Below are 24,014 nucleotides of genomic sequence, written 5' to 3' on the forward strand. Positions count from 1 at the left end.
TCCCAGTTTATTCACTTACAAAAGCTAATGTACTAAAAGCATTCACATGCTGCCCATTACGAAGATACTCTGACAGTTTCAAACCAAATTCTTCCACACACACTACCAAAACATCTCCTACTTTAAGGCCATTTCTTTGGTTACACGAGTAGTTATCTCCTTGTGTTCATATACTTGCTATTTCACCCAATACAGATTCTAGAAACCAGCAGCTTCCAGACGGGGCAGGCGAGAAAGCGGACACGGCCCTTGGCTGAGAGTTTGGGCTTCAGGATCTCTAAGACTCAGAATCACATGACCGGGCTCCGAGTTCTACACTGGCCACTGCGGATCCTGCCTTGGTCACAGGGACTGGATGAGGCCTCAGTGAGATAATGTGCATGGAGGACTCAGCTCAGCAGAGAACACACGTAAGCCCTCAAAAGAGATGCTGCTGCCACCGCCACGAGCACTTAAAACTGACATGCACAAAGTGTCACATGCTGTCGCTCTGGGATGCTGGTTCTCAACTGTATCCCTCATTTTGACTATTAAGTAGTTAACAAATTACTCTGCATTTTGGACCGTAGCTATAACATTGGGACCAACGTGGAGATATCTGAAAAAGACTTGAAGTCATTTCGTACAGGTTATAACAAGATGGAAAGGCTCTGACATCATGAAGAAGAGTGTGGAGGGGTCCGGGATACACACCTTCCTGTTGCAGAAAGCAACTTAATGAAAGTAGAGTTAGATTAGAAGAGGAGAGGAGGTAGTCGGCTGTAATACAGGAGGGGTTTGGGATGACTAAAACTATCCTGCGTGCAGAAGGGGAGACCTGGGGGACTGTCATGTTCTTTCTTGATCTCTCAAATGATATGAACTAGAAGAGCTCTGAGCAAGGACGAGCTAATGAAGAGCTGGTACTCTCCTGTTGCACACGGCCGCATCTGGACCTAGCGGTTTGTGCTAGGCCAGCCACATCTACTAATTCCAGTGCTTGGGCAGCTCCAGCAGTGAATGTGCCCGTCTCCAGCATCGTCCCGGGAGAGGCTGGCTGGGTTCCTGTTCTTTGTTGTCAGCCCTGACTGCATGACTGAAAGCACGCCCTGTGGTTCCCGCTGTCTGCAGGTGACCCAGGTGTGGAGGAAGCTCAGGGTCACTGTGAAATCCTCTAATCGCCTCATTAGCAGGGTGGGGAGGAGGGTGCGTTTGTTCCACGAGGAAGCAGAAAGCTGGTAATTGCATGGTGTCACATAGAAAAAAACCATGGTGGAAGCAAAAGGCCAAATGTAAAAAGCTGTGTGTGCACAGCTGTAATTAAACCAGAGCCCGAAAAGCAAGGCCCACAGCACCTGACCGTAGAAGGAAGGTAAAGCAGTGGAAACTGGTTTTGCATGGGGTGTGCTGAGAGGGGAAGGGCAGAACCCCCACTGGAGCATGTGCCCACACTGTGCAACCCATTTGGAGTTGCCTGTGAACATGAGGTGCATGAACTCTATAACAGATGGATTCATTTGACAAATGGTCCCTGAGACTACAGGCCAGTGTTCCCCACTCAGAAGAAACGCAGTCACCTTCCACAGTAGTGCTCCGATCTCTTGCTCCAGGCTGGACAAGAGTTTATTCTTAAGAGAAATGCCCTAAAGACACGATCCAGCATGGACCCCAGAGGTGCCAGCCTGCCTCCCCTGACAGAGGCCATGAGAGCATGTTCTTGGCTATCATCTGTGCAGCTGGCCCAGGTTCTACATAAAAAACTACTGATTAATCCTAACTTATCTTTAAACTACGGATATATTCAGCAGCACCTTGCTGCCCTGCCATGTGAAGAAGAGCATCTCATCATCTGCTCTGAGGACCACATTCTTTCAAGTTCCCAGGGACTGTCCCTGGGTCAAGTTCACGGTCACTTCTATCTCACTCTTCATAATTTTAGATTTTACTGAAACACGGTCTCCTGGGTTGGAGCCTGGGCAGAGCATTTTCATACGATTCCCCAGCAGACTTCCAGAGCACATTCTGTTTCCCCATATACTGCCACATCTGTCCTCGTGGCTACTTCTGGTGGTCCTAACTGTTTTGCTCTGGTCTTCCAGCAAGGCCTAGCAACCTCTCTCTGCCTGGGTGCCTGCTCTGGCCTTGTCTAGGTGGGGTGGAGGCCCCACTCCTGAGCCTGCTCATTTCTGTGTTCTGTGGGCTGATCCCAGGCCTCCTTCACCAGGGAACAGAACCAGCGGCTGGACCACGAGGGGCATGGGGAATGCTGTCCTTCCTGAGGATGCCTTTATGTGGGGAAGGAGATCCCAACCCCAGGCCTGTTCTCTTAGGACAGAATGACTGACAAGCAGCCCCTAGAGTTCTGAAAGACGACTTTCCCACCAGGCAGGGTTTGCTGTTTTCCAAATTCACTACACAATAAAAAGGGATTTACCTCCTTTTCAAGTCAGAACAATTCCTTCTTCCTTTCTTTTCCTTTGTGCACTTCCTCTCAGAATTATAGGACATTTTGGTTTCTACTCATCTATTACAAAAAATTTACCGAGCACCTACTGCGTGCCAGGTTCTGTGACAGGTGCTGGGCATTCGGGTTGAGCATCTCAAATCTGAAAACTAATATGCTCCAAAACCCAAAGCTTTCTGAGCACCAGCATGATGCATGATATGTGGCACTAAAAGGAAATGCTCACTGCAGCACTGCAGAGTTCAGGGTTTGGGTGCTCAAAAAACCTGTACAACGCAAACACCACAAAACCTGAAAACACTGAAACCTGACACACTTGTGGTCCCCAAGCATTCTGGATGAGAAATACGCAACCTGCACGATGAGCAAACACCAGGCAGGGGCTGTTCTCTAAGCTATACTTTCGAGGAGGGGCAGACGCTGACCACACATACAAATACCACAAGCAGATGCAAAGCTGCCACCACAACAGACCAGGGCCAGGGCAGAGACGTGAGGGTGTCTGCCTGGCTGGAGAGGGCACAGCATGGAGGGGAGAGGTCCAGGCCCAGGACATGTTCAGGCAAAGGCCCTGAGGAAAGGATAAGAAACAGGGGTGTGGGATGAGGCTGAACAATCAGCAAAGGCTGGGGGCCTTTGTGAGGAGGGGGGTTTGTTGTGGCTTGCTCTAATCACAGCCTAACGGGATGCCACTGAAAGGCGCTAAGCCAGGGCAAGATGCGGTGAGGGCTGTGGAGGTGCTAGCTGACTGCGGTGCCGTGGCCACAGGAAGACTCGGTGGGAGACTGTTTCAGAGGTTCGGATGGAGCGCCGGGGCTGAGGGCTGCTATTCATAAAGACAGCGTTTGGGAAGCGGAGGGAAGAGACAGATTTAAGGAGGCCGGAGGGATCAACAGTGTTGGATGCGGCTGAGATGGAGTAGATAAGCACTGACTCAGGTGCAGTGGATTTACACGGAGAAATCCTCATGTCTCCAAGTGTGGTTTCGTCCAGCCTCTCATCTCATGTTTGGCCAATCTGTCTTTTTACAGAATGCTAACTGGCTCAATGAAATCGAGAAAGTTTTCACAGTGGGCAAGATTCCAGGTTTGCCTTCAGCTAATTAAGTGATATTAGGGAGGTTGTAAATGCCACATAAAAATTGGCAGGCAAGCTGCTCTAATGATGAGAATATTGCTTTACAGGGAGATGCAGCTGCAGCTTCTTAATGCTCGTCTTTGAGGGACTCGGTTCCATGTTTCCAAGGTTGTTCCTGATAAGAAAAGTTCAAGGGTGCTAAAAGGTTGAAGTTCACTTTTCGTACTCTCGGTTCCGCGGGTACTCGCGACAATGATGGAGGCTGGGGGAAGAAGCAATGCGACAATATGGTCGTTGTGATGATCACCAGATGCTCCCGCTTATTCCCGTGCCGGACACCACGATGTTTCCACTCATGATCTGGCTTAACCCCCACAATCAAAGGGCGACTTGAGTACCTCCCTTTGAGGCCAGAGGACCCAGGCACAGAGACGCTGAGTGACTTGTCCAGAGGCACACAGACTGTAAGTGGCCCGGCCAGGATTCAATCCTGGTGTCTGTGTGATTCAATCCCAGATGTAATCACTGTGATTCTCCCAGAGTCGGCATGTAAGAAACCAGAGAGGGGCAAGGGAGAGGGCTAACGGGGGTACAGACTCCTCAAGCTAGAGCTCTATTCTGCACAGTTAGCTCTTCCCAGGTATTAAACAATTGCTGAATGAGCAAGGGTGAGAACCAGAGAACAACACAGCACAGGCCTTCAAAGATGAAAACCACCCCAGAGCTTTGCAAAATTTCCAATTGGAAGCATTTCTGATAATTCAGACAGGAAAAATCTATGAACCTGTCCTATCTATGAAGAAGGGGCGACTGGTGTGTATGATTTCCACGAGGATGTTTATTTTAGAAAGTAAATGACTTCTAGAACTTCAGAAGTGTGGGAGGTTAAGGAAATCCTCTGCAAGGCCTGGCACACAAGCCACAGGGTGCGCTGGTTCTGGTCCCACTTCCCCTCTTCCTACTGATCAGTGCCTGCTGAGCACTGACTTAGCATGCCCAGATCTACTAGGTACTAAGGGGTAAGAGAGCCCCAGCTTAGACTCCATGCCTTATTTGATAAAATCAGGAGCTACCAGCTAACATTTGGGCTAGGCTGACTTGAGAAAATTTATACAAATAAAACTTTTCTTTCCAACAATTCAGATTGCTGTTTAGTAATTTTAAAGAGGAAGCTAGGAGCAACAGGGGGACAAAATTATTGCATTACTGATAATGAAGATGTCCCAGATGTTTCTAAGCTCTAAGAACAACACTAGAAAGGCAGGTGGCAGAAGTCAGGGGTAAAACCAGTCTTAGGTACTATAAACTGAATCGTCTGGGCAAAAACTACTGTGTGAGCACAGCATATAATTCACATAAAATAGGGTGGTTTAGAAACAGCAGACTTGCTCTTTCGTACTGTCACAGTACCAAGATCTTTAAACATTTTTAAATTTTATTTTTATTTTTTAGAGATGGTGTCTCACTCTGTCACCCACGCTGGAGAACAGTGGTACAGTGATCATAGTTTGCTGCAGCCTTGACCTCCTGGGCTTGGCCTCCCAAAGCACTGGGATTATAGGTGTGAGCCACTGTGCCCAGCCTAACACTAAGAACTTAAGGCACATCGTTTCTATATTATTGAGCCATTTTCCACAGAGTGGCAGCGAAATGAGAGAGAATCGTGGCCCTATTGAGCGTGCCTGCTCACTGTTCTGACACGTTCTACTTGTGTGACGACCTAGACAGATAGACACCTGGCAAACAACACAATTCTGCCTCTCCCAGCAGACAGTGCTGGGTCTCAGCATCTCCTGGAAAGATGGGGACTTTGGAAGGATATGTTACCTTTGCTTCTCAGAAACTGCTGAATCTACTATAGCTTCAAAATAAGAACTGCATTTCACGGAAGGGAAAATGCTGTTTTCGTGATGGATGTTGCTAAGGGGCCATTCAATATTTTACCGACAGCACCAACTATCTGTGTATATGTCTATGTCGGTGTTTGGGGTGGGGGCTGTTTTGACAGGTTTGCGTGTAGGTGTCAGAAGAGTTTTTGTGACTATGACTGTATTTCTATGTGTAGGGGAAGATATTTACTGTTCCCTTGCAGAACTGAGCACTGGAAAAGTCGACAGAAACCTAGTTATTAAGATCTCATTTGGGGCCACGAACTATTTATTTTTCTTTTCTGAAAAGTGGTCGAGTGAAGGACTAAAGGCAATGTAAGAGACGAAGGGTCCCTCTCCCATCGCATGGACCAGCCGAACAGCCTCCTCACTAACCTGCTCCCGATCCCCATTCTAATACCCGCCTGAGCTCCCGCTTGGCATATGACAGGTGAGACAGGCTTCTGTTAGTCTGATGGATTTGGTTTGCAGATATCACAGGTTTGCACATAATATATAATTATTCTAGGCAGTAAACACCGTAAAATGGAATGCAGAATAGTTTAGAGAATTTAGTGCCATTATTTTATTCACCCATACAAAACATAAGGAACCCATTCTCTTTCTTGACAGACGGATTTCAGAGGAGACGTTTCAGCTCAGAACAGTAATTGTGACCACAGCATAACTCAAGCACTTTGTGGGGTTTAATGGACTTTTCTTTCCAGTCCTCAAAAAGCAGCAACTGGCATTTGCTCAAACCCTGACTGAGGTGTGGAAAATCTGTCAAGTTTTCTCTGCCGCTTACCCTGACCACAATTATACGGTCCATGTGCAGATTAGCTGCAAAGTCATTCCTCCTCCAGGAGTGACAAGATTTCCCCAAATAAAAAAAGGTAACTACTGTATCCTCGAGTGCCCGTCTGCCTTCGAAAGGCAGGGGTGGGGGGAGGATCTAAGGAGTGTGAAGAGAAATGCCTTCAAAAGAAGGGCATAGCAACGGAAAAAGTAGCTGTAACAGAGTGGGGACATGGCAAGAACAGAGAGCGGCATTGTCACGGGCGGAGTAATCCTGTGACACACTGCTGTCACTCACCACCCGGCTCCCTGCCGCGCCAGCCAGACATCAAAGGCTGCCCCATACCATCTTACATGCTCTTTATCAGCTAATCAGCCCATTCTTCCCTAAATAAAGCCCTGTTAAATCCCCTGCTCACAGGGGTATCGTGGTCTTGGTGCCCATCTGCTAGCGAGGGTCAGCTGGGGCAGGAGGCGGCAGGCTGCTCTCTCCCTAGCGGCTTCTCAAGGTAAGGACAATGCTGCCTCCAATTCCCCCGCCCACAGGCCTCCCTCTCTGCTTTCCAAGATCTGGGCCGGTCTGAGGAGCTGCTATCTGGATTAACACTTGCTAATGAAATCTCCAGTCATAAAGGGAGATCATCTGCTAACTATGAAATCTTGGGATTGCATTTATTTTCAGGGATCGGAATAAACAAAGATGTGTGTTTCTTTTTTTTTTCTTCTTTGAGACAGCGTCTCACTCTGTCGCCCAGGCTGGAGTGCAGTGGCGCGATCTCGGCTCACCGCAACCTCTGCCGCCCAGGTTCAAGCGATTCTCCTGCCTCAGCCTCCCAAGTAGCTGGAATTACAGGCGCCTGTCACCACGCCTGGCTGATTTTTGTAGTTTTGGTAGAGATGGGGTTTCACCATCTTGGCCAGGCTGGTCTTGAACTCCTGACCTTGTGATCCACCCGCCTCGGCCTCCCAAAGTGCTAGGATTATAAGAGTGAGTCACCGCGCCTGGCCACATGTGTGTTTCTTAACAGTAATCATTTGGCAGATCTCTTCCTCTGCTCTCAAAGTGTCACCATTGCCGAGATGGTAACAAAATGATCAGGCTTCTGATGATGAGGCTACTCTTAGTCATCAGCTGGGAAGCCTCATGGTTTCATTCCGCACTCAAATCAAAGTTAACATGCATGAGTACTGGGGAGAGCAGATCCTAAGACAGGATCTGGGAACCCAGTTCCCAGGCCCCGCAGCCTAGAATCCTGGCACAGCCAAGAGGGCCTGGGAGTAGAGCTGAGGCATCATGGCCCTCTGGGAGGACAGCCTGGCTCGAGCAGAGGATGAGCAGAAACATCTTTGGGCTGCAGCCCTGCTCTGCACTCCTGAACCTCAAAATGGCCTAGAAGGAACCAGCAAAGGACACGTCCACACTCATCTAGGCACTGCAGTAGAGCAGCACATAGAAACAGTTTCTGTTTGTTTTTCCTCAAAGAATTACTGGAGCATTGTCCTATGTGAGAGTTATTAGTATCAGAAAAGAATCAAGCATCTTAAAAATTCCAAAACTGGGAAGAGAATTAGGCAACACTGTATCCATTCCAATGAGACTTGGAGGTGCCAAGTCCCCCAGAGAGGTCAAGTTGGATGTCCCCGAATCTGCTTTTTAGCTTGTAAGAACCTTCATCTGCAGGGCCCTATATGGTTCAAAAAGCATATTCACAAGTCACCTCATCTTTTTTTTTTTCTGTAGAGACAGGGTCTCGCTATGTTGCCCAGGCTAGTCTCTAACTCCTGGCCTCAAGCAATCTGCCTGCCTGGGCCTCCCAAGGTGCTGGGATTACAGGAATCACCTGATTTTGATTCTCAAGACAATCTCGTGAAGTAACTAAAAATATGGATTTTCCTCCCCCTAGTGTAGTTGAGATCGAGGCTCGGAGACGTTAAGAAAAGGGAAGGCCCCAAACTCACATCAGAACGGAGCCGACTTCAATCCAACTTCCCTGACTGCAAGACCAATGGTCACTTCCCTCCACTGGGTGGTCCCTCTGTCTTTGCCGTGACAGGCTAGAGAAACGGGGCCCTGACAAGACTGATGGAATAACTGACACTTCCCGGTGAACGGAGAAGCCAGACATCGTGTGGGAACAGGAAGCACAGAGTGGTCCTTCCCGGTGAACAGGCAAGCTGGACACTGGGCAGGAACAGGCAGCTCAGAGTGGTTCTGCCTGCAGATTCCCAGAGTCAGTGGGGGAGCCTGCGGCGTTTGTAAATTAACGTGGAAAAGGGAGGATAAACAATGCAAACTAACCATCCACAACGTTCTGGGATTGAACCCAGAAATCAGGACAGGTGAGAAAAAAAGTCTCTGTGCCCCAAACATTTGTTCAACGGACCGTTCCCACATAAACAATGAGACCATCCGCCCCAAAGTTCTGACATGAGTGGCTCACAGGGCCTCACGCGCTCTGGCTCCTGTGAGGGCTGAGGCTGGTACTAAAAGAACGTCTTTGAGGAGAGGAAGAAGGCCTTTTACAAATGTAGCATGCTGAGGGAAATCATCTCAGCACTGGGAAAACAGACTCAGAGCCCAGCCTCGAACAGGGCAATACCCCTCCCTCTCCTTCCTCTCCCCAGGACCTCTGGACAAGTCCTGAACATGCTCTTTTTGGGAGGAAAGGGCTCTTTTTGGGAGGAAAGGGGAAGGGCTCACCGCTCTTGCCTTGATGAGCGCTCACCACTGGAGGTGCAACTCAGCAGCAAGGAGCCCAGCACTGACCCCAAAGCCAGCCTGTTAGAGATCTGGGCTTCAGCAGCTCCTGGAATCTGAGGCTGGGCACTCAGCCCTTCCATCTCACTGGAACAAGGTATGCTCCCAGGCCTCGTCACACAGAACACACCAGAATGTGTCATACACATCTCGGATGCTTTCCAGGGCGGACCGCAGCACAACTGAAGCTCCGACTACGTTTGGGCCCTATGAACCCCACCACATTTGGGCCCAAAAGGAGGCACCCCTGAATTTCTGCAAGATGAGGTGGCTTTCTTCTCATTCCAAGTGCTTGTTTATTGGGAGAAGGGCAGGTATGAGTGAGAAGAGAGTTGCGGTGAGCATGGCAGCTAGCACATCACATCATGTGAACGGAGCTCTCTAGCCCCGTCACGGGACGAATTCAGCTCATCTTACCTTTTCACGTGTGCTTTCCTCTTCTTTCTAGTCAAGGCACTAAGATTCCTGGGGGCATCTCTTAGTCCGAAGCTCTTCGCCACATGCCCAAGGTGGAGGGATCGGACGTGGAAGATGTGCTTCAGCTCCCTGGGGTAGGTGGCGTAGGCTTGGATGAAGGACTGCAGAGCTGAAAGAAAAGAGAGCGGGGAGGGAAGCTGTCAGGACCGGGGTCTCCAAGCTCCAAAGTGCCCGGCCTAATGGTTATCTTCTGTACTTTATCTTGCCAGGCAACGAAACATGAGCAGGACAATTACAACATATACAAACAACTAAAATCTAGACTTCTGTGTATTTCTTCAATTCCTAAACAACAAAAAGAAAAAAACTACAGGGGGCCACAATTATTACTTGAATATGCCCGATAAAATATCAGATTTGACCACACAGCTCCTAACAATCCCACAGGGTGGGGCCCAGCACAGCACCTGGTACCAGCAGGCACTCGGTAGATGTCTGTTGTGTAAATGAGTGAAAAGAGAGAATAGGTGAAGAAACTAAGAAATGATCAACACAGGACATCGTTTTCTTATGAAAATGAGAAAATCATTAGACATTTATATTAACACATTTTTCCTAATTAAATTTTACTTACTTTTGAATAGTTAATGCATGCTAGTCTGTTACAAAATTTACAAAGTTCAAAAGGCTGTCTTATGACTGTCATGTTTACTATGAATGAATGACATTACCACCAATGCCCCCTTCACCACAAGCCCCACCTCCAGCTCCCTTATCCATAGGCAATCCCTGATACCAGTTTTTTGTGTACTCACTGGACTTTTTAAATTTAAAATTTTTTAAAGAGATGGGGTCTCACTATGTTGTCCAGACTAGAGTGCAGTGACGTGATCATACCTCACTGTAGCCTCAAGCTCCTGGGTTCAAGTAATCCTTGTGCCTCAGACTACAGGCTAATTTTTAAATTTTTATTTTTGTAGAGACAGGGTTTCACTATGTTGCCCAGGCTGGTCTTGAACTCCTGACCTCAGGTGGTCCTCCCGCCTCAGCCTCTCAAAGTGCTTGGGAATACAAGTGTGAGCAACCTCACCCAGCCTTCCTCATGGGATTTTAAAACCAAGTTCATTCTAAAAGTATCCAGGATTAACCAATACAGAGCTTCTTGCTCAAAGAATGTGTAAAAAAGGGAATGAAACAAATGTTTAAAGGAGAAAGAAAACTACTAAGTCTCTAAAATAGTCCCTTGAGGACTGACAACAATTTAGGGACATTCATCAAACACTACGTCAGGAAAGTTTCAGTGCCGTTTTAAAATTAAGAAGAGCGGCCGGGCGCGGTGGCTCAAGCCTGTAATCCCAGCACTTTGGGAGGCCAAGTCGGGGGGATCACCTGAGGTCAGGAGTTTGAGACCAGACTGGCCAACATGGTGAAACCCTGTCTCTACTAAAAATGCAAAAATTAGCCGGATGTGGTGGCAGGTGCCTGTAATCCCGGCTACTCAGGAGGCTGAGGCAGGAGAATCACTTGAACCTGGAAGGCTGAGGATGGAGTTAGCAGAGATGGTGCCACCGCACTCCAGCCTGGGCAACAAGAGCAAAACTCTGTCTCAAGGAAAACTAAATTAAATTAAATTCAGAAAAGGGGGTCCTTGTTGTAGGTCCCTCCTCCCTGAGAAAAAGGCCAGACTCATTCCCAGGAGGGTGGAGCTTTGGTCTACTTAACTAGGCATTCCCTTGAGGAAAGATTCTCGTAGATTGAATATCTGGAAGTAACAATGAAAATCAAGTGTCCACCCGCTTCTCACTCCAACAAGGAAGGAGGGGGACATCCTGCAAACACTCCCCGCCATCCCTGTCACTGCTCTCTTCACCTCCAATCCTGCTCTTCTGCCAGCTGAGCCAGAGCCCAGCCGATGGTGTCTGATGGAGGCAAGCACTGAATGCCAGCCTTCGCTTCCTCACTCTCCTTGTTGAGCCACTGGACTGGCAAGTTTGCCCACAGCTTAAACATAATATCCCAGCAGCACCTGGAGATTGGCGTTTATGAACAGTAATAAAAAGTGTCATTTTAGCAGATCAGCTCCTGGAAGGATCCTGGGGAATCCATCAAAGCTCTATTTACTGAGTAAAGTGAACTCCTTTTCCCAATCGATGAGCAATAATAACCAAGGCAACTCCTCTGTACCCTACTCTTAAATCTGTGCTTACTCCCCTTTTTAATAACTAGGGACTTTTTCAAAGAAAATCTTTAACGCTTCAAATGGTCTGTACTGTTTGGAGTACACAGAGCCCCACTAGATACAGAGCCCCACAGCCAAGCCCTCAGAGGGAAAGGCTCTACTGCTACGCGACCCAGGAGATTCAAGCCTCTTCTCCTCAACCTTTCTTTCCCCAACCCCCAACACTCACTCTGGTCTCAAAAAAGACAAGACCGAAACCAAGTCAAGCCGAAACCATGCCAAGAGCCTGCACTTTTAAAATCTCAGTTACCCAAATCCCGCTCTAGGTCTCTTCATTTCCTACCTCTCTTCTGTGTATGCAGATGAGTCCCTGGGCTTCCACCCTGGTCACCTCTCTTCCTCTCCTCCTCTCCACCAATCCTATGAGCTGAGCACTGAGAGCATCTGTCCCAGGAGATGTAGGTGCCCAGCTAACAGCTTTACAGGGATAATGAGTTTGCCAAGATGTGGCAGGAAGTGTTTTCTCCCCAGACAACTGGCCAGGCAGCATTTCACACTGCATATTTTTACTAAACCTCCTTGTCCTCAAGGCTCCTGTCTCACCGGGGACAGCGACAGTTGGTTGTTCTCACATACTTGCATGGACTCCCATGTTTGGATAATTCAGAGAAGCAGGAATTTCAAAGACGCTGCAGTAGCTGTCTGCAGAACCTTTCAAGGAGCAGGAAGTGCTCATGTTGGCAGCGTCGAGAATGTGCAGAAGGAACAGGGGCTGTGGGACCCACACAAGCGGAAGGTGGAGAAGTAATGAAAGCAGACATTTATTTGGGGTGACGGATGAAGCTACAGGCCACCAGAGTTCAGCACTTTGCAGTCACTGATTCCTATTTCTTGCCAACTACTTAAGGTGCCTGAATTAGGGCAAATCTATTTTCAAGTATCTCACATGGACACATCGTCCTTTTTCATTCCTGGACATTTGGATCAGAAACTAGTGGTATCTTATGATGACTTGTAAGATGAAGGAGACAGAAATAAACAAACCTCCAGCCTGGAAGGTGAAGATCATCTCTGCTCCTCCCAACCCCACCTCCACTCCCACAAGAGCACCCTTCAGTACAGAATAAAGGCACACGCATCTTCAAGACCACCCAACACCTACAGCGACAACTACGGAAAGGATGGAGGAAAAGGAGGTTCCCTGCTGTTCTCTTCAAGACAAAGCATTTGGTAAAGTGCCCAGCCTAGCTCTGACCCCACTGAGGGGAGAAGAATGACTTGTCATCACTGGTGTGGGTTTTCTAGACTTTGAGAAGCATCCCTTCCAAACAGGCATAAATCCTACATGGAGTTCCTGGTCTGCAGGAAGACCTGAAGATGGAGAGGATTAAGCCACAGAAGCAATGGTCATTTGCAGGCAGAGGACTCTAGCTTCCAAGATTTTTGTTCGGGAATCTGGAATTCAAACTTATGTTACCACTCGTTTTACAACTTGAATCCCTAGCTAAATGATGCAAGAAAACAGAGGAAAAAAGGGGTAACTGCTTCTGGAAACTGACAGTTAAATGCTGGTTATTAACAATGACTGGGTCCAAAAATGCAAAAGGAAAACAAATACATACTTGGCCCAGTTTCTAACTAGTTTTCTGCCATCAAGGCAAAAGCCAGCTGCTTTGTTAATTATTCAGGAGGTGGGTTCTGAAATGGCATAAAAGGGAAGCAAGTCAATAGTGGGGAATTTGCATATGCAGATTGAAATGCAAAAGAGTGTCTCCACCTATGGGGTGCAGTGGCTGTTCCTATGCAGTAAATTCAATACATTTAGGGTGGCAAATACGTGTATACTCTCTCAAGCCTCCAAAACTCAGTCCTAAGAAACAGGAGAGAAGGAATGGTGGCGAGACTTATGTCTGAAATGGGGTGACTGAGCTCTGTAAGAGGCGGTGTTGTCCCAGCCCATTATCAATCTGGTGTGGAAATTGATTAGCAAATAAGAGACATGATACGTTTATTTCCTTCATGGTACATAAACATTGGGAAGTGACCCTGTTCCAATATTCCTTAAACAAAAGACAAGTGACCCTGCTTGTTTCATGGTATTAACAAGTTCAATGGTAATAACAGTGAAAGAAAACCCAAAACCACATCCTTTAAGAATTACTGTAACTTCCACTCAGATGACCGAGACACCTTGAAATAGTTGTAGTCTTGCCAAAATATCTGAGGCATCACTGACACCAAAATCGAAGGTGACAGTGTGGGTTTGATTTATTTCTTTCCACTGCAACTTTGATACCAGCCCTGGAATTCAGCAGCACAACACCTTGTTATGTACTGCACAGCCAGCTGAATTTGCCTAACTTTCATCAAAGGTCCAAACTGTAAAGTTACACTGTGACAAAGACCCTATTCCTCTTGAGAGACACAGAGCAATACTCCTCTAGAGGTAGCAAGGTAGGAAAACCCTTGGGAATTGTTGAATTCCCTTTAGGGAAATGCCAAGACAGGATATTATTAGAGAAAAGTCTAGAAGGATATACAATGGCAATTACGGGGACTTCATCTTTTACCTTGTGTGGTTCTGATTTTTAACGACAACCAAGAATTGCAATTATAATGTGCTAAAGGTATGTAACAGGTCCTTGACAATATTTGCTGACTAACCCATTTTTTCATCTATATTTTCTGGTGACCACAATTGCTCCTCAGCCAGGCTCCCAGCTTTCACACTTGCCCCCGCTAGAGTCTATTCTCACACAGCAGCCAGGTGATCTCTTTCAAACCTAAGTCAGATCCCACACTTCTGCTCCCCCTTCATTCCGACCAAGACCCAAAGTCCTACGTGATTCTGCCTTGGCCAGCACCCCCTTTCCACCCACACTGCCTTCCTCGAGCTCGTCTGCACCAGCTCCCACTGCCCAGAATGCCCTTCCTTTAGAGAGCCACGGGGCTCATCCCACTTCAGGTTTTTGCTCAAGTATCACCTACACAATGAGGCTCACTCTGACCCCATTAAAAATGCACTCTGCTATGTCACCCCTTCACCTCCCCCATCTCCTTCTACTTATTCCATAGCTCTTGTCACCTTTAAATGGACTAATCTGTTATGTTTATTATGTTCACTGTCTGCTGCCCCTGCACCCCACTAACATGTTGGCTTCACAAAGCAAGGATTTTTGTTTTGATCTCGCATGCATTCCAAGCACTCAGAATAGTGCCCGATTTGATAAATATTTGTCAAATGAATGGTTTTTAAAGCATTTCTATTTATAAAAAGAAAGGATGCTACAGTGTTCCGATATTGGTAAGCCAGCCTGGCACTCTTCTCAAAATAGCAGGCAACTAACAAAAAAACCCTGTGCATACTCCAGCATGGAGTAAGTCTCATTAGACATGGTCAGTCTCTGGCCAAGACATCCCATGATAAAAAGTACCAGTGATTACAAACCCCCTTCAGCCATACACTGCTTATTACTCAACGTGAACTGTGAAGTCTACATCTAATGTATGGTGATCCCAGGAGCCAACTTATCCAACAAAGGGTCTGAATATTAAGTCAACACCTCTCTCTTTCATAAATTTCCTAGGAATTGGGTTCATGGTCTATGGCTCTTCCTCAGTACTGTTCTTTCTCGTTTTTCTTTGTGCCTTCAAATAGGAACTGCTTAGGTCTAATATTTCCAGCTCTGGCCTTCATCTCTAATTTCCATCTCTACAACTATTTCTACTAACGTGTCACATGTCTTCTATCTGGTTTTCAAAGAAAGAGGAAAACAGATCCTTAAGATCCAAGTTGTTGGGTCAAAACTCTAGTCCCGATATAAGCCAAGATAAAGCCTCATTTGTGCAAAACATGGGGAAGGATGAAATTAACATTTAATATCACTTTAAAGCCTTCCGTGCCTGCTTCCAAACCCTGCAGAATTATGGAGATTGAAGGCTTTGGCTGGTGAGCAGGGACCTCCATGTTGGCCTCTCAACCGGTTTGGGGGTATGTGGGTGAAGGTGGGGGAGAGCACTCTGCTGGGCTATCCACTGCGCAAGCACCTAGGAAATCGACTGACCTTTCTTTGCCCAGGAGACCCTCCTCTCACTGGAGTGCACGTAATCTTCAAATACCGTCTGCAAGACTGTGGCTCGCTCTCGGATTTCCTGGGGGCCAACAGCATGGGATTTCTGAGAGGGCGACGGAAGGATTAAAGGAGAGATAGAGTCAAGGTCAGGAATAATGAAGCAGTTTATAATAGATTTAATAACAGTAAAATCACACAGTAACCACCTAGGGCCAACAAGGGTAATCCTTTCAATATTACTAGGAAAAAAGGGAGCTATAGAGATGTCAAAGTCAAGTAAGGATGAGGGTGGCTTTATGAGAGAGAACATCAGGTCTGTTTACTTATTTACTTACTTTTCTTCCTGACCTCTTACCATGCATGTTCAAAATCAAAGACCATTGGAGACACTTTGGAATTTTCCAAGTCCAATTCAGACATTTAAAACATCACTGAACATGAGCTGTTTTCAAATGGGTCTTGGATCTCCTAGGAATCTTCACCTTTCCCTCACGCGCATCAGTGGAACACCGACAATTTCTCTTCATGAGCACTCCACAGTGACCTGCCTAACATTCTGCTTTTAAAAGTTACCCCATCCTTGAATTTCAGAGCAGGCTTCCTCAGTGCCTAGAGCGGTTCAGACTTCTAGTGTTTCAAATTTATTCCTCCAGCCCATGGCCACTGTGGCCAGGAACCTATTAAGGAGTGAGTGGGCTGTTCCAGGACAACACACTCAAAGACTGCCTGGATCTTTGCAGCAAATCGTCCCTGTGTAAGAAGTAGCATCTGTGTGCATGCAAAGAGCCTACAGATGGAAAATGTTAATAAAATAGACAATTATTTTCTTTTCATCCTTTAACAGTACCAGAGAAAAAAATTTCCTTTTTAAATATCCCCGCTAAAAACTAGTGGCTTTTGTCTCCAATATCGTAAAACAAACATGAGTGCTTTCTACTGAATGTGAAATCAAGAGAACACAGATTCTTCCACCCAATGAGGCCAACCTGCCAAGTGACACTGATCACTTGAGTGGTGCTAGTGCCTCTACTTCCACCTGCCACCCTGGTGTGAACCCCCGGGGAAAATCCAGAGTGAGACCGGGTCGTGCTGCTTAACCTTGTAGAGGACGGTGTATGAGCGCCTGCATCTGGCCTCACTAAGACTCCCTGAGCCTCTCTTTCACCTTTAAGGCTGACAGAGGAAGAACAAAGGGGAGGAAAGAAAAAGCCTCATTCTCTGGATCGACGTTCATCTCTATATTAAGAGACTTAACAACGTGAAAATGTTTTTAGTTTAGTCAAATCATTCCTGCTACCTGTTTGGTTGATGACAGTCTCGCTGATTTCACAGTTCAATACAAGGTCCCCCTAAGGGTTCTATCCGCTAAAATGTCAGGAGAAGAGTCACTCAGGAGCCGTGTTACCAAAGTGGACATTTGCTATTGTCATTAACAAGGATTTTTTTTTTTTTACCCTCTTAACTGATGTGAAATGCAAACTTTTTTTTGCTGCCCTCCTTTCGTTAAGCCACCTCAGCAGCGCAACTGTCACCTTCCCTGTGTTTTTTTTTTTTTTTAATATGAATGTGAAATTAGCGAGGATGCCCTTTCCCCTGGCGGACAGAATCCTCTGTTATTAAAAAGTAAAGCACTTTAATAATGAAAACTTTTTCCTCTTTTTCTTGTGTTTTAACTGTTTAAAATTAATGAGAAGGGCAGAATGGTTGTCAAAGCAATATTGAAAGCCGGGCAGCCAGGACCGAATAAGCACAAAAATCCCTCTAGAGTGTTAAATAAACAGAGCTCCAGCCCTCTCCGAATCCCTCTGTTGGTTATTGTATACATTCTGTAACAGCTCTCAGAATAGATCTGAGAGCCAGGGAGGCAGAGAGGTTTCAGAATTCCAATAAAGGCCTCAAATTAAAGACAGCCTGGTGCGAATTCCAGGAGAAAATTAAAGAGACCTCAAGCTTAAGTGACAGGTGACTTGCTTCTGTGTCACAACTGTCAGGGGATTTAGTGATAATATGGCAATATATTACAAAGGGCTTTTCTTATTCCCCCCTTTAGGTTTCAAAATGAGGCATCTTTTCTTCCCAACCAAAAAAAAAAAAAATTACATATATATAATGTGAGTGTGTATACAAGCGAAATACGTAGGGAAAAAAAAAACAGGATAGAACTAGGTTCACAGGTTTGAAATGATAAGGTCAGTTTTAGTAAAATATAAGAAAAAGTTAATGGCAGAAAAAAATATATACAATACTTAGGAAAAAAAAAATCTTACTCCTCCCTAACCCCTGCTTCCAGAAATACCTTATTTTAAAATTGCCCCTCTTGAGAATGAATGAGGTATTTTTCAGTTGTCTTCTGGGGAGGACAGTCTAAATTTAAACTGAAGACAGAGGGGGGCAGAGTTATGCAGCACCATCTCAGCCCCCGACAGGTAAAATGCTCCTATAATGAGAGCGGGTCAAACCCCTGAGGGCACATGGATACCTGGCAGGGCTGGCTCTCCCACCCTCCAAGACACAGAGTCAGTACTGGTTAATGAAGCTAACTTCAACTAGTGGACCATGGGTAGTTTAGAAAAACACATTTCCAACCATCCATCCGCACGCAATGCACCTTTGTCTCTAACATCCTACTGATCTTGGAAAACACAGGCCATCAGAAAGGATGAGCAGGGGGCTCTGAACTTATTTTAAGATCTCGCAATGCCAGCAACGGCTCCTTTGTTGGGATAAGTTTACAGGTATATTTCACAGGACAAAAACGCTTGTAGGAAAAACATGGTTGGGTGTGTGTATACTTTGATGATGAAGATTTCACACCTATCAAGAAGCAACAGATGAGTCTAAGATAAATAGGCTGGACTATTTTTATTATAAAAAGTAATAGCAAAGGTGGGAGGTTTTTGTGAAAGCCTGCACCTTGATATTGCCAACTTCCAAGGTATTTTTAAGCAAAATGGAAGGGTTTTGTTTTAATCACTTTATTGCCAAGCTGAGTTTTACCCCCATGGTCCCTAGAACCTTCTGAGTGCTTCCCAGTAAAGTTGAAAGATCAAATTTATTCTCTTTGTAGGTAGGTGAACATTCACACACCCAGACATAGCTATATATGTTTTATATACCTAAATATGAAATATACATTTTACAGATGCTTCACTCGCTTTCTTTCTGTTCACAGAAGCCCAAAAATGTATGTGCCAAAGGGACATTTACCATGGGCTTCAATCACGCTGGGTGAAGGAGAGGGGCACTGTAATGAGGTGTCTGGCTATCTGAACGAAAGGCCTAGCTACTGAACCCACATTTACATGCCTGGCATTAGTTCACATGCTAGAGAACTGCTCAAATTGAGGACAGCAATTAAGACACACGTTATTTCTTACGCATAACAGATTTAAAAGTTGTATCCAGCATCTACTTTATTCTTCTTACTACTGACATGAATCACACATAAAATACTCTCTCGGGTTGTGTATATCTATGTGATAATTAGTAACACAGTCAATTTAGTTTAGTTTTTCTTTTTCCTCTGAATTCAAGTTAAACTTGGCTCAGCAAGCCAGGTCTTCACCAACATGACACCTACAACGTAGGATGGTTAATTTAGCTTTCTAAGTTAACCAGTTATATCATGAAAGCCCAAACTTACTCAGCTTTTCTTAAAAAAAAAAAAAAAAAAAATCACCAAACCTTAAAAATATCCAAGCATTCACTACTGTCTATCAAGGTAGGAGCTGGGGCTGAGATCATGAGACAGAGTTTCTAGACCTAAGAATCTATGAGGTCTGGAACTCTACAGGGCACTTTATACCTCGTTTTATTTAAATCTCACAGCAATTGTATGTTTTACAGATGGGAAAACTGAGACTGGGGAGAAGATAATCTGCCTGAGATTGCAGAGCTAACAGCTGGGAAGCAAGGATTCAAACTCAAACTCATATCTATCTGGGACCTGGCTCTTACTCATGAAGTTAGAGCCACTCCTCAAGTCTCAGGAAGTCCTTGAGGCTGGCCTCAAGCCAGGGAAAGTCTTAAGGAGAAGAATTTATGCTGCAAGGCCACAGAAGGGCAGATGCTACCAAAAAAAAACGACTGTAGCTTGTTGCTGACAGAGTGGAGGGAGATGCAGCTGCTCCGCTCCTTCTCTGGGGACGTGTCCTTCAGGAGAGGCTTCCTGCCCTTCTACAGCTTCCCTGCGTTGCGCAGACACACAGTGATCAACTCCCTGGAGAGAAATGATCTGCACTCGGGGATAAAGACTGACACCAATGCCAGGCCCAGAAAGAGTATACCTGAGACGACGTTTGATCAAACTTACTATCTCATTGTGTAATTGTACTACTTGCCTTTATTTCTAGAGAGCTGGCAGATGCTAATGTTCCACTTATTATGATACAGCAAAAAAGGGCACTGGGATTCATGTCCCTGAGTCTGGGCTTTAATTCCACATCTGCTACTAACTTGTATGACTACAAATAATCCTGATAGTTACAGTAATAATAAAAAATGCCCTTTGGGCCGCGTGTGGTGGCTCATGCTTGTAATCCCAGCACTTTGGGAGGCCAAGATGGGCAGATCACCTGAGGTCAGGAGTTTGAGGCCAGCCTGGCCAAGATGGTGAAACCCCGTCTCTACTAAAAATACAAAAGTTAGCCGGGCATGGTGGTGTGTGTCTGTAATCGAGCTACTTGGGAGGCTGAGGCAGGAGAATCGGTGGAACCCAGGAGGCAGAGGTTGCAATAAGCTGAGGTCACGCCAGTGCATTCCAGCCTGGGAGACACAGCAAGACTCCATCTCAAAAAAAAAAAAAGCCCTTTGGTCCTATGTTTTATACTTGGGACTCCAGGACTATTTCCCACACAATCCTCTGACGTCCTTAAAAGAACACTATTTTATCTCAACTTTACGTGCGAAGAAACTGAGGCTTAGAAAGGTCCAGTCCAGGCCGGGTGCAGTGGCTCATGCCTGTAATCCCAGCACTTTGGGAGGCTGAGGCGGGCGGATCACAAAGTCAAGAGATTGAGACCATCCTGGCCAACATAGTGAAACCCCGTCTCTACTAAAAATACGAAAATTAGGTGGGCATGGTGGCATGCGCCTGTATTCCCAGCTACTTGGGAGGCTGAGGCAGAACTGCTTGAACCTGGGAGGCAGAGGTTGTAGTGAGCCAAGATCGTGCCACTGTACTCCAGCCTGGCGATAGAGCGAGACTCCATCTCAAAAAAAAAAAAAAAAAGAAAAAAAAAAGAAAAAAGAAAAAAGAAAGGTCCGATCACAGGCTGGTGACAGATGAGGAACGTGACCCTGAGGCGTGCTCTTAGCCACTCTGCTACACTGCCTCTCCGAAAAGAAACTAAGGCTTAGAGAGGTCCAGTCCCTGCCCAAGGTCACACACTGGTGACAGATGAGGAACATGACCCTAAGGCCATGCTCTTAGCCACTCTGCTACACTGCCTCCTCCAACAGATCCACATCTGCTCCCTGCTGATCCCACAGAGCTGCCCTGGAGCCATAATGAAGTATCTGGGGGAACATTAAAAAAGAAACCAAAAGGCCGGCTACGGTGGCTCACACCTGTAATCCCAGCACTTTGGGAGACCAAGGCGGGTGAATCATGGGGTCAGGAGTTCGAGACCAGCCTGACCAACATGGTGAAACCCTGTCTCTACTAAAAATACGAAAAAATTAGCTGGGCGTGGTGGCATGTGCCTGTAGTCCCAGCTGCTCAAGAGGCTGAGGCAGAAGAATCACTCGAACCTGGGAGGCAGGGGTTGCAGTGAGCCAAGATCGCGCCATTGCACTCCAGCATGGGCGACAGAGCGAGACTCCGTCTCAAAAAAAAAAAAAAAAAAAAAAAAAAAGAAGAAACCAAAAAAGCCCCTTAACTAGAATTTATGATAGTTCCAAAAGAACGGAAGTGTGCCAAGACCAATGAAGATCTGTCTGGTCACAGGTCAACACCCCTAATAACAAACTTAATAAAGGGTGGTCCAGAGGCTTACGAGTCTTATATGAAGTACTGACTTGCTTAAAGTAACCTGATGACCAATGGAGTCTTTAACAGCTTTTATTGTTCACAGGGATCTTTGCTGTGGTTGATCAAATTTCACCTCTAAATATGACTAACATTTCCTTATTTAGAAAAAGACTCAATTATCTTGGTTTAGTTAATACTAATAAAGGCATATTGGTATACAGTTAAATATATGTGCTTTGAAGTTAAGACTTCAAATCCCAGAATGACTAAAGCATATTAGTGTGCCCCTGTGAAAGTTCCTTTACCTCTCTAAGTCTCAGTTTCCTCATCTATAAATTGGGGCCATCACCAACTTCTCGGATTGCTATAAGATTAAATGGGACCGTGCACATAAAGAGTGTAGCACAGTCCTAGGTTGGGAACACACACTTTGCTAATAGAGGCTATGGCTATCTCCTCTCCTGGTATTACATACATTTCCTTAGATGCTCTCTAAAACAAGAGAATTTAAGTCAGGCTCAGTGAAACGGGGTCCCTCCCTGCTCAGGGAGAATAATGATCCAAATACAGGCACATGCTAAAGCATGAAAGAAACTCTTAAGCTTGATCTATCTGGCCCTGATTTTCCAGTTCATCCTCAGGCATACAAAAACAAATGTAAAATATTCAAGTGATTAATATCTCATAGACAAAATTACATACAGCAACACTGCACCCACACACGGGAATACTGAGTAAGGGGGTGGGGTGGGGTGAGGGAATAATGGTCTAGTCGGGTGCAGCCTTAAGAGAAGGAGCAGGAAAGGGTGTCCAGGGCTGCCTGCACCTGCTCAGAATCTCCATATGGAACTGCATGGATAATAAAAATTTTTCTTCTTAATGATCTCAACTTTACTCTTCCTCTGTGGATAGCACACACACATTAAAAAATGGATGAACTAACTGTGTCTGAAAGGAGACACAGAGATACTTATTTCTTCCATGCTGTCTGGGATAGGCAGGTCTAGGCAGCCGTCCTTGCTGAGAATCTGGACAGGGACCACCGGGGCTGAGCGTGTGGCACTGCCTCCAGACTCATTCTGGCCTGGACCTCCTTTCTGGGGAGCCTGCTGCTGTCTGGCAGGCTTCCAGAATGGACCGTAGCCCACTCGCTAGATGAGAGTGGCAAACGCATCCAGAAGCAAAGACGAGGAAAAAAAAAAAACAATCAAGATTTGGCCTCATCTAATGTTCATGGTTCTTAAAATAAATGTATTGCTTGACAGAGGAAGTAACCCATACACAAAGTCTCTACTACCCCAAATCAAGTGAGTCACATCTGTTGGCAGCGAGCACAATAAATAACAAAACTCACCTGGGCTCCCCATCGTTTCCCTTTAAAACAATCATCTCTTGTCAGAACACACAAAATATCTTCCATCTTAATCTCAGAAACGCTGTAAAAGGAAGGGCACAGCAAGGTAACTTTTTGCTCTTTCAAAAACACCCAAGACCTTGATGCACAAAACTGGCCTATTCTTGAGCTAATTAGACATGAAGTAGAAGTGACACCTTCCTAGGAAAGGAAATATTTTCCTAAACCCTTAGGAATTGAGAAGGGGACCTCTATGATATTAAAGGGACAGGATGATATTCCTGACAATTTCTTTCCTCTCTGATGAATTTAAAATAGGCTACATTTAGAATTTCCTTAATAGAGATTATGTCATTATTTCTTAATAAATCTTGAATACCAAATAAGTGTGCCCACTCACTGATCCACTCCCTTGATTTGAGCAGATGATGATGAAATAGAAGCATTTTGGTCTCTTTAGTTTATACTGAAGAGGAAAAAAAAAAAAAAAAGGAAGAAAAGGGTGGCCAAACATCCTCCACTGTGGGGTAAACACCCCTGTGAGGGTAACGAGGGCACAAAGCCCTGTCCCAGCAGCACTGGCCTTTCTTCTTCTACCCTGGAGGAGCTTCACTCCCCCATCTCTTAATTACTGATGGGTGAAGACCAAAGGATCTCTAACGAAGCCGGAGCTGTGTGCCAAGCACTGAGACAAGAGCTTGGGCTTCACTCAGGAACAGAAGCCACAAGGAGCCAGAACACAACAGTCAGACCTGCCTAGCAGTGGAGTCTGGAAAGCCTCCGCTTCATCCAATCAACTGCAAGGCCACAGCATTTGAATGTAGGGAGCAAAGAGAGACTTGCGTGTCAGAGATGAAGGAAGAAACGTGAGCTGCTGAAAGGATACTTCCCAGGGAGAAAGAGAAACAGAAAGAGAAGAAGGAGTTCTGAGGGGGAAACAGATCATAAGAAGACAAATGATTTTGTTGTATGCTCTTTTTTTTTTTTGAAAATGTAACAGCAAATTAAAACATGAATGGCAACCTCTTAGGTGGGAGAAGACAATTCTCCCCCTTTCACCCAAAGGTTACTCTGAC

The 24,014-nt window shown here is 45.8% G+C and overlaps 1 protein-coding gene across 15 annotated transcripts in view, besides 1 other annotated feature; it reads right to left on the bottom strand.

Annotated features, from left to right (window-relative positions):
• DDX31 (DEAD-box helicase 31) overlaps positions 1–24,014 on the bottom strand; it is a 76,987-nt gene that overhangs the window by 9,729 nt on the left and 43,244 nt on the right. For 7 of the 15 annotated variants that reach the window (NM_022779.9, NM_001322341.2, NM_001322342.1 and 4 more), the window contains 3 exons: positions 22,939–23,020; positions 15,605–15,716; positions 9,362–9,530 (listed from right to left, as the gene is read on the bottom strand). In NM_022779.9, coding sequence (NP_073616.7) covers positions 9,362–9,530; positions 15,605–15,716; positions 22,939–23,020 — 363 coding nt within the window. Of the gene's footprint in view, positions 1–9,361; positions 9,531–15,604; positions 15,717–22,938; positions 23,021–24,014 lie in introns of those variants that run through there. The other 8 variants (NM_001322340.2, XM_047423735.1, XM_011518922.4 and 5 more) reach the window with 5 other exon arrangements.
• Positions 8,100–8,832: an enhancer, noted in NCBI's record as "H3K27ac-H3K4me1 hESC enhancer chr9:135486212-135486944 (GRCh37/hg19 assembly coordinates)". NCBI's record gives its function as "activates a minimal SCP1, AML or CMV promoter by ChIP-STARR-seq in primed H9 embryonic stem cells {active_cell/tissue: H9 hESC(primed)}" and the evidence as "EXISTENCE:reporter gene assay evidence [ECO:0000049][PMID:30033119]".

This window comes from Homo sapiens, chromosome 9 (genome assembly GCF_000001405.40).
Source record: "Homo sapiens chromosome 9, GRCh38.p14 Primary Assembly".
In the NCBI taxonomy this organism is placed as follows: domain Eukaryota; kingdom Metazoa; phylum Chordata; class Mammalia; order Primates; family Hominidae; genus Homo; species Homo sapiens.